Source organism: Homo sapiens, chromosome 12, assembly GCF_000001405.40.
Source record: "Homo sapiens chromosome 12, GRCh38.p14 Primary Assembly".
Classification (NCBI taxonomy): Eukaryota; Metazoa; Chordata; class Mammalia; order Primates; family Hominidae; genus Homo; species Homo sapiens.
The window spans coordinates 93,079,446-93,090,366 of NC_000012.12; the positions used below are offsets into that span (position 1 = coordinate 93,079,446).

The 10,921-nt window shown below is 42.1% G+C and overlaps 1 long non-coding RNA gene and 1 pseudogene across 1 annotated transcript in view; both read right to left on the reverse strand.

The window, feature by feature from the left end:
- The window catches only part of LOC643339 (uncharacterized), a 373,979-nt gene that overhangs the window by 75,688 nt on the left and 287,370 nt on the right, over positions 1-10,921 (reverse strand). The gene's annotated exons all lie outside the window — the stretch shown is intronic.
- On the reverse strand, positions 3,848-4,271 carry RPL41P5 (ribosomal protein L41 pseudogene 5; annotated as a pseudogene).

Here is a 10,921-nt window from a genome sequence, read left to right on the forward strand (position 1 = left end):
CTTTGAAAAACTATCATCATTGACTCTGTGAACACAAGGCTCATTGATAAACAGCACAATGATGCTCTTAAGTACTCAGGCACTGGAGCCAGACTGCCTGGCTCACCACTTCCTTCCTTAATGTTCCTGCGCCTCAGTTTCCTCACCTATGAAATGAGGATGACCATGAACGTGGGAAGCATTATGTTAATGAAATAAGCCAAACACAAAAGGGCCAATACCGCACGATTCCACTTATATGAGGTGCCTAGAATAGGCAAATTCCCACAGACAGAAAGCGGAATAGTGGTTACCAGGGGCTGGGGGGAAGAGGGGGAGAATGGAGTTATTGTTTAATGAGTATAGAGTTTCTGTTTGGGATGTGGAGAAAGTTCTGGCAGTGGATACTGGTGACGGCTACACGACATTGTGAATGCATTTAATGGCACTGAACTGTAGACTTCAAAATGGATAAAATGGTAAATTTTGTGTTGTATATATTTTACAATTTTCAAATTAAGTTTGTTGCTACAAACAAAAAATTGACCTAAGAAGTCATAGACAAAAGAATTAGTGCTGTGCGACTTCAGTACATAAAGTACAAAAAAATGGCAAAAATCCTCATTGGTGTTGGATTTTAGGATAGTGTTGTAACTGCCTGAGGGGTTCTTCCTGTGACCGCACAAAGAAAAACCATGGCATTATATTAAAGAAAGAGTTTTATAGACACAAGGCCGGCCATGCCACGTGGGGACCAATTTAGTACTGAAATAATTCTCTTCCAAAGCTCCTAGGTTAAGAGTTTTTCAAAGGCAGTTCGGGGGAAGTGATGGGGGTGATTAGGCCTGCTGCTGATTGGTTGGGGCAGAGATGAAATCATAGGGGGTCAACGCTGTCCTCCTGTGCACTGAATTGTTTCTGGGTGGGGCCACAGGAGTGGGGTTGAGGGTCCAAGTGGAGCCATCAGGTCAAGGTGAAGCCATGGGTGTCAGACATGCAAAAAAACCTGAAAAGATATCTCAAAAAGCCAACCTACAACAGAGATGTTATCTGCAGGAATCACTGGGGAAGCTGCATCTCCTATAACCTCTGGAATAATGACTAAACAATCCTTCATGTCTATACCTTAGCAAGAGACTCAGGCTCTTCTCCTTCCCCTAGCCTGGAGGCCTCCCCTTAGCTTTAGAAAAGCAATTGAGTTTGAGGGAAGGCCTATTATCATTTAAATTTACCCAAATGTCCCTCAAACTCAGCTCAGCCCCAAAGCCCAGGAATAATTAAGGGAAAGGCAAGATGGGGGTGGGGCGAGGGTAGCCCAGCTCACTGTTACAATTTTTCTTACTGATATAATTTTTGCAAAGGCGGTTTCAGTGTTGGTGTTGGATATCAACACCACTGAGGGTGGTGGAGACTGGAAAGGGAGTCTTAGGTGGCTGGTCATGTTTTCTTTCCTGATCTGCAGGCTGATTGCCTGAGTGTGTTGCCTTTGTGAAAATTATTGAACTGTCATTTATATGTGCACTTTATGTATATTAGACTTCAATGAAAAGCACCCCCCACCTCTACAAAAGACAATATTATCCTCCTCAGAGGGCTATTTTAGTATTCAGTGAATTAGTGCAGATAACAAACTTAGAACAGTATCCGGCATATAAGGGCCTCCTAAGTCATTTCCAGCAGTGTTAAAAAAACAAAAGAAAAGCTTTCCTCCAGAAAGCTTTGTGGACTCACCCCTGCGGTTGAGATGCCAATCATTCCCTTCTTATCCACACTTCCTGTGCTTTGAGATACTTTGTATTTGCTCCTCCAAATTCTCCTCCCTGCCACCACCACCCCAGACCCCAGCCCCGGCTTGGCTGTGTCCCTTTGTTAGAGTAGGTAGTTAGGCAGACATAAGCAGCGAAGGAGAGGGGCCTCTTAGCCCAGAAATGTCAGGCAACCATCAGGTGATGGTAGGGCTGTTGTTAAACTGTCTCTCTAAAATAATAATTGGGGTCAGCTGGCACCAGGGAAAGCTACTCTAACAATAGACAGAAAACACCTGAAGCTGGTGATTAGCAACTTCCAGATAAGATCTCAGGAGCTGGATGAGCAGGCTCAAGCATGTGCATTAATTAAGATGCAAAATGGTGGAGTTTAACTGGTATATGACCTTCCTCCAGGAACGCTCAACTTGTAAGGGAAAAATGCCTCAAGTGAACATGCGCACAACTTCCGTAAACACACTGTGCAGTGATCCTTCCCAAGCGCTGGCAGGCCACTGTGCGTGAGGATAGCCCACCCCAAGGGAAGAATCAAGGGAGGAGAAACAGAAACCCAGGAACCACGCCAATGGAGAAAACCCCAAGTCAAGGATCAAATAGGGCACTTGGATCTCTCAAGTTGCCCGCTCGGCCCTCTTCCAAGTGTACTTTGCTTCCTTTCTTTCCTTCCTGCTCTAAAACTTTTTAATAAACTTTTAATTCTGCTCTAAAACTTGTTTCTCACTGCCTTATGCCCTTTGGGTGAATTCTTTCCTTCGAGGAGGGAAGGATCAAGTTTACTGCAGGCCTGTCGGATTCACTGCTGGTAACACCTTTATTAAAGGTTGCAGGTCCTGTCCAGCAGGCCCCTCCACTTGGCTCTCTCCCCAGGTTCTGGTAACTGCCTCTTTTGGCCCAGGGGTAATAATGGTCCCCTGCAGTTAATCCCCAAGGATACTGTACTACTATCCCTTGTGGTTTCTTGTGGTTTTCTTATGCCCAGATCTTTATAAATCACTTCTTATTAAAATCTTCTCCAGTTTTCCCAATTGCAGTGTATTATTAACTTCTGGGACCTGACTGATATCTACCCGCTTAGAAAAGCTATGGAAAGCAGGCCGGGCGCGGTGGCTCACGCCTGTAATCCCAGCACTTTGGGAGGCCGAGGCGGGCGCATCACGAGGTCAGGAGATCGAGACCATCCTGGCTAACACGGTGAAACCCCGTCTCTACTAAAAATATAAAAAAAATTAGCTGGACGTAGTGGCGGGCGCCTATAGTCCCAGCATCTGGGGAGGCTGAGGCAGGAGAATGGCGTGAACCCGGGAGGCGGAGCTTGCAGTGAGCCGAGATCGCGCCACTGCACTCCAGCCTGGGCGACAGAGCGAGACTCAGTCTCAAAAACAAACAAACAAAAAAAAGAAAAGCTATGGAAAGCAGCCATGTAGGCTACGGGACCTCAATCAGTCAGATAACTGCTGACTAGGGCGGACACAAGCAGCTGACCACGCTGAACCAATCAGAATCATAGAAACAGAGGGATTGAACCAGTGGAGAACCACAGAACTATAAGATCATGCACAGGTAGAGCCAGGGTTGGGGCCATGGCAGCCCAAAGGCACCAGCAAGCGGAAGCTACTGTAGGGCAGTTGAAAAAAATTGGTCTGTGGGGAAAAAGGAACACATGCAAAGTATCATTTATTCATGTTTTAAATGCATTAATATATTCAAAAATGTGTTCTAACAATATGCAATCAAATGTAAAATCATCTAATGTGGTCTTCCCAGTTATTAAACTCCATTTTTTTTTTTTAATGTGGGCATGGAGGGGATGGAGTTTCACTCTTGTCACCCAGGCTGGAGTGCAGTGGTGCGATCTTGGCTCACTGCAACCTCTGCCTCCCAGGTTCAAGCGATTCTCCTGCCTCAACCTCCAGAGTAGCTGGGATTACAGGTGCACACAACCACACCTGGCTAATTTTTGTATTTTTAGTAGAAATGGGGTTTCATCATCTTGGCCAGGCTGGTCTCGAACTCCTGACCTCAGGTGATCCACCCACCTACACCTTCCAAAGTGCTGGGATTACAGGCGTGAGCCACACTCTATCTTTTTTTTTTTTTTTTTTTTTAATTCTTCAGCTAAAACAGTGGAAAAGGTGATTTATTATATGGTTGTTACACTCGGCCACAAATAAACACAGAAATAGTCCAGAATGTCACAGGTCCAGGGCAGAGGACCAACATGGGCATTTTGTTTATGAGCAAGGTGGGTCTCAGAGGTGATCGGCGATCAGAGGGCGATGAAGTTCTAGATCCATTGACACAAGCTCTAGACAGTAGCATGCAGTCCCACAACTTGTACCAGCATCCCCAGCGTCTGGCATTCCATGTTTCTGCTCCTGTGGCCTCCACGGTGCAACAAGCTAGCGGTTTACTTGGACCTCTGCCTCATCTTTCTTCTTTTGCGCTTCAGCCTGCGCATTCGCTTCTTCCTCCACTTGGCTCTCATGGCACAGAGGTTTCCAAAAAAAATGGCGCTAAGGCCGAGAGCCACACTCTATCTTTTTTTAAGAGACAAGATCTCACTTTGTTGCCCAGGCTGGGGTGCCATCATAGCTCACTGCAGCCTCGAACTCCTGGGCTCAAGCCATCCTCCTGCCATAGCCTTCCCAGTTGTTAGGACTACAGGTGCACATCACCATGTCCGGCTAATTTTTTAATTTTTCTTAGAGATGGGAATCTCACTATGTTGCCCAGGCTGGTCTAGAACTCCTGGCCTCAAGTGATTCTCCTCCCTTGGCATCCACAAATTACTAGGATTACAGGCGTGAACCACCATGCCTGGCCTTGAACTGTATCTTTAAAGCCCCTGAAATATTGTTCCTACCAAAGTAATATAAATGAGATTATGTCCTAAAATGAACTGTATGAAATGCAAGAAAGCTACTCATTATGAAATCCTGTTAATATATGTGTGTTGGGGTGGATAAGGTAAAGAATGATTGACGCTACTTAATAAATTGTGGTTATCCATTAGTACATTTTTAAATTAAATTACTAATGAAATACAACAAAGTAGAAAATATCAGCCTTCATCATGCTTCTAAGAGCAAATACTGATTTGTGAAACTTATTTCAGTGATACATATACTGGGTCAAGTGTAAAATGTATTTCCACTGGGTCAAAAAAGTTTTTAAAATTCTAGTTAACTGTGGTTAAAATATGCAGTTCAGAAATTACTGTGATGTACTACAGTGTGGGAGTAACACAGGAAGAAAACACAGTAGAGTTATTATAAATAAAATCTTGCTAACATCTATGGGAATCATATATTCTGAGCCTTAATATGTTCTTTCATAGATGGTTTTAAGTTGGAGGTGGTCATCGAGCTACCATTTCATCATCATCCTTCTCACTTTTCTCTTTTTACAAACTGGAGAACGGTACTGTCATCATTTAGGTATCCCCCCAGTGCTTGGAACACCATATGCACTAGATAAATGTTTGATACATCTCTAGAAAATGGTCTTTTCACAAAGCCATTGTGTTTACATAGAATCAATGATATGAATAAGATATTTAAAATTTCCATATATGCACTGCTGTAATCAAACATCATATGATCACTGTAATATCCCATAAGCAGTGGTTTTATATAAAAAAATTTTGAGGCCGGGTGCAGTGGCTCACGCCTGTAATCCCAGCACTTTGGGAGGCCGAGGTGTGTGGATCACGAGGTCAGGAGATCGAGACCATCCTGGCTAACCTAGTGAAACCCCATCTCTACTAAAAATATGACAACAAAAGAAAAATTAGCCGGGCATGGTGGCAGGTGCCTGTGGTCCCAGCTACTCGGGAGGCTGAGGCAGGAGAATAGCAGGAACCCGGGAGGCAGAGCTTGCAGTGAGTGGAGATTGCACCACTGCACTCCAGCCTGGGCAACAGAGTGAGACTCCGTCTCAAAAAAAAAAAAGAAAAAAATTTTGAAAGACTACATTTTAAAAAAATGAGCTATTATTGTTATTCTTTATATTATTTTTCATTGGCATTTTTATTTAGATGTAATAATGTTGATGCTAATACCGCGTCAGTAACAAACTTTACTAGCTGTAGTGAGTTGAACTGTGGCTCCCAAAAGTTATGTCCACCTGAAACCTCAGAATGTGATCTTATTTGAATACAAGTCTTTGTAGATGTAATTAAGATAAGGGTCTCAAGATGAGATCATCCTGGATTGAGCTGGGACTTTAATCCAGTGAGAAATGTCCTTCCAAGAAAGAGAAAAGAAGACACAGAGACAAAAAGAGAAAGCCATGTGAAGACCAGGGCAGAGGCTGGAGTTATAAAGTCCCAAACCACAGAATGCCAAGGATTGCTGGGAGCCACCAGAATCCAGGAGAGAGGCATGGGATGGATTCTCCCTCAGAACCTTCAGCGGGAACGTGGCCCTGGCAAGACCTTGATTTTGAATTTGTGGCCTTCAGAACTTAGAGAGAATAAATTTCTGTTGTGTTAAGCCACCAACTTTGAGGTAATTTGTTAACAGCAGCTCTAGGAAACTAATATACCAGCTGAATAATATACTGATAGTTTAAAGGTCACACCAATTATAGATTTGGTTTTCCTGGCCCTTGCCTGACCTATGTCTTTCACTTAGAGAATGTTGGTAAGAGTTTATTCTGAAGCAGTAGTATTGGATTCCCACAGACAAACATACGAGGTCACATGGCAGCTGCTTTACACAGGACTGTCAACTGGGCCATTGCTATGGTTAGAATGTTTGTGTTCCCTACAAAGTTCACATTGGGATTCAATCCCCAGTGCAGGTTTATTAAGAGGCAGGACTTTTAGGAGGTAATTAGGTTATGAAGGCTCTGCCCTCATGAATGGAATTAATGCTCTTATACAAGGGCTTGAGAGCCTGTGCAATATAGGGGGACCCCATCTCTACAAAATATTTAAAAATTAGCCAGGCATGGTGGTGCACACCTATAGTCCCAGCTACTCTGGAGGCTGAATTAGGAGGATCACTTGTGCCTGGGAGGTTGAGGCTGCAGTGAAATGTGATCATGCCACTGCACTGCAGCCTGAGTGACAAAGTAATACCCTGTTTGAAAACGAAATAAAATAAATAAAAGGGCTTAACAGAGTTCATTTGGCCCTTTTTGCCCTTCCACCATGTGAGGACACCACAAGAAACCCCCCATGAGGAATAGGCCTTCACCAGACTCAGCTGCTGGTTTATTGCTCTTGGACTTCCCAGCCTCTAGAACAGTAAGAAAGAAAGTCTGTTCTTAATATATTATTCAATCTAAGATGTTTTGTTATAGCAGCAAGAACAGACTAAGACAACTATTGCTTGGATTTTCTTTTACTCCTCAAAAGCCAAATATGTCCATGGTTGAAACCAAAGAAACTGGATTTTCATTCCAACTGAACGACCACAGTAGCAGAGCGATCAGGAACATGGGATGGGGTCAGGTAGTTCTGGATTGGAATCCCGGCTCCAACCCTTAACTGAGGGAGTGAACTTGGACAAATACCTGAAACTCTGGGCCTCTCTTTGCTCATTTGTAAAACAAGAATTGTTAAACTCCCTCAAATGCTGTCAGACAATTTAATAAGGAAAACACCATCTTGACAAAGTCTTAGTGGTACCTCAGAAAAAAGAAGTCAGGGATGGATATTTATACAGTTTTGAGATCTTGGTTCAAGTAACCTCAAGAGTCTTTAAAGAAGGGAACTGAAGGTCAGGCGTGGTGGTTCATGCCTGTAATCCCAGCACTTTGGGAGGCCAAGGCAGGCAGATCAACTGAGGTCGGAAGTTCAAGACCAGCCTAACCAACATAGAGAAACCCCATCACTACTAAAAATACAAAGTTAGCTGGGCGTGATGGTGCATGCCTGTAATCCCAGCACTTTGGGAGGCCAAGGCAGGCAAATCAACTGAGGTCGGAAGTTCGAGACCAACCTGACCAACATAGAGAAACCCCATCACTACTAAAAATACAAAATTAGCCCGGTGTGGTGGTGCATGCCTGTAATCCCAGCTACTCGGGAGGCTGAGGCAGGAGAATTGCTTGAACCTGGGAGGCAGAGGTTGCAGTGAGCCGAGATCGCGCCGTTGTACTCCAGCCTGGGCAACAAGAGCGAAATTCTATCTCAAAAAAAATAAATAAATAAAAGGGAACTGACTGGAATTGGGCTAAGATCATGATGTAACCTTAGCCCAAGGTGGACGAAGGGAGGATCTTAAAGCAAGTGTTGATGAGTAAACTATGGCTTGATGAGAGTGAGCAATTTGCCCAAGGGAGCAGATTGTTATCTCAGATAAGCTGATCAGCAGGAATTTCCTAATGCAAACAGAGAAGTTATTTGTTGGCTTACAGTCTTATCTATTCTATGAAAAGTTTTCAGAACAAGTAACTTAAGTTATATTGACACAGGTGGTCTGAGTTCTAAGTCCAAATAGCAATGTCATGTTGATGGCAGTTGTCACAGTTCTCAAGAGAATGATATCTACTTTCTGTGGCTGTTGTCAGGAGTAAATGACATCATGGTTCTATAGTATCTGCCACACAGCAGGGACTAAATAAGATATTATTATTATCCATTTTAATTTATTTTGAAAGACCAAACAGATGTAATAGGAAATTTTTATATCTCTCAAATTTTTATTGCTTTTCATAAATAATAAGCAAAGTAAATGGCTTGCGGCTTTCCTGGAGTTTAGGAACTACTAAGTTACTAAGGTTATAGTAGAATTTGCACTTACTGAAAGAAAAAAAAAGGGGACAAAAGGAAAAAAAACATTGAGAGCTCTTTTTCTTTGCCATGATGCTAGTTGTCGGCATATTTGCATTCCCCAAGGACTTGGGAGTAATTAGCTCTGCATAAGCTGCACATCTTCAGGAAGAAAACAACTTTTATAAATGCAGAGAGGTTTCATGAAATGGTGTGTCATATGGAAATGCAATAATTTCTGGAGACTAGGAGTCTTTATTCATTCCCTCTGCATATTCTCAATTGAATTAGTAAAATTTTCTTATAAGAGAATGCTACATCTCTTCAGTCTCTGAACATACAAAGCCCAGAGGAACTTCTTGAGTGTTTGTATATTTGAGTGTTTGACTTCAGAATCTCTAGACGGTGGTTGAGTCTTATCCTCAGGAACAGAAAGCAACATGGTCAGATGCCTGTTTGACTCCAAGGGCAGTGCTCATTCAATGCCCCCACCCCAGCTTTCTCCACTGAACCTCGCAGCAGCATTCTAAAGACTGCAGGAGGGACTGCCCTGGTTTTGCCCCCTTCACTCCAGGGAGTCTGAACCTGCTTCACTCAACTTTCCCATCTCTAAAAGAGAGACAAAAAGTGCAGCACTCTTAATGTTTTGATGCGTCATTAAAACAAATAAAATAATCCAAACGATGTAGAAGAAAATTGTTTTACTGACAAATAATAATTATACATATTTATGGGGTACAATGTAACATTTTGATACACCAAGGGATGATTAAATCAAGCTAATTAACATATCCAGCACCTCACCTACTTACCTTTTTTTTCCTAGTGAGAATATTTAAAATCTACTCTTAGCAATTTTGAAATATGTAGTAAGTTATTATTAACTATGGTCACCATGCTGCGCACTAACATTTATTCCTCCTGTCTAACTCAAACTTTGTACCCTTTGACCAACATCTCCTCTTTCCCTGTCCCACCCCGTACCCCCATCCTTGAGTAATCATCATTCTATTCTCTACTTCTGTAAGTTCCACTTTTTTAGATTCCACAGGTAAGTGAAATCATGGAGTATTTGTCTTTCTGTGCTTGGTTTATTTCACTAAACATAATGTCCTCCAGGCTTATCTATGATGTTGCAAATGACAGAATTTCTTTCTTTTTAAAGGGTGTCTAGTATTGTGTAGCCAATTCTTCATAATCCCAAGATATCATTACTATGTGATAATAAAGGCAAGCGTATGAAGTAAAAGAAACTGTAGTAGGTCAAACTAATAAGAAAAATGCTGATCTGAATGTCTATACAATGCATAGATTGTGTTTTTAAAAATGCAACAGTATATAATTTCCGGACCTGCTATAGTCTTGGGAACTAAGCAGTATAAAACTTGGCTAGTGACTAGATAAAATGATGATGTATAACAGACATTAGTTACTTATATGCTTAATTAATCTGAACATTTACCCTACACTCTTATTGGCGTTATTAATTTGTTCAATTTGTTAAAAGAGTTTCCTAAGAAAATGTGGCTTTATTTCAGTACCTATTTTGAATCCCAAATATTTTTTATATTCTGGCTTGATAACTGAGTGACTAAGAGGTTTCAGGGCCTTGCTACTTGGGTTTGTATACAGGCCTACCATTTTCTGGCTATGTTTTCTTAGATTACTTCACCTCTCTGTAACTTAGTTTCCTCAATGATAAAATAAAAATAATAATCATGGTCACCTCATAGGGTAGTTAGGAGGATTGAATGTGTTAGTTCTTATAAAGTGATTAAAGAACCAAATGCATAGTATGTTAGTTCTTGTTTATTTTTCTTGAAGTTAACTGTAGGAATTTTACCACTTACAATTTACAGTGGCATTGCTCTATGGGAATAATACTACGTGGGAGGATTCTACCGTGGTTTTTGATATAGTTTGGATGCTGTCCTCCTCCAAATCTCATGTGGAAATGTAATCTCCAGTGTTGAAGGTGGGGCCTCGTGGGAGGTGATTGGATCATGGGGAGTCTTTCCCCCTTGGTACTGTCCTCACCACAGTGAGTGAGGTCCTGTGAGATCTCATTGTTTAAAAGTGTGTGGCACTCCCCCAACTCCTGCTCCTGCTTCCGCCATGTGAAATGCCTCACTTCCCCTTTGCCTTCCACCATGATTGGAAGATTCCTGAGGCCTCCCCAGAAGCAAAAGCTGCTATGCTTCATGTACAACCTGCAGAGCCATGAGCCAATTAAACCTCTTTTCTTTATAAATTACCCAGTCTTAGGTATTTTTTTATAGCAGTGAATGGATTAACACATTTTATTTCAAATTTATATCCTGTATAGCCTTGCATTATGAAAAGAGCACAGAACAGGAAGTTAGGACATCTTGCTTTGAGGTCTAGAACAGCCATCAACTATATGATCTTGGGTGAGTCACTTCACCTCTCTGAACCTGTTTCCTCAAGAAAAATA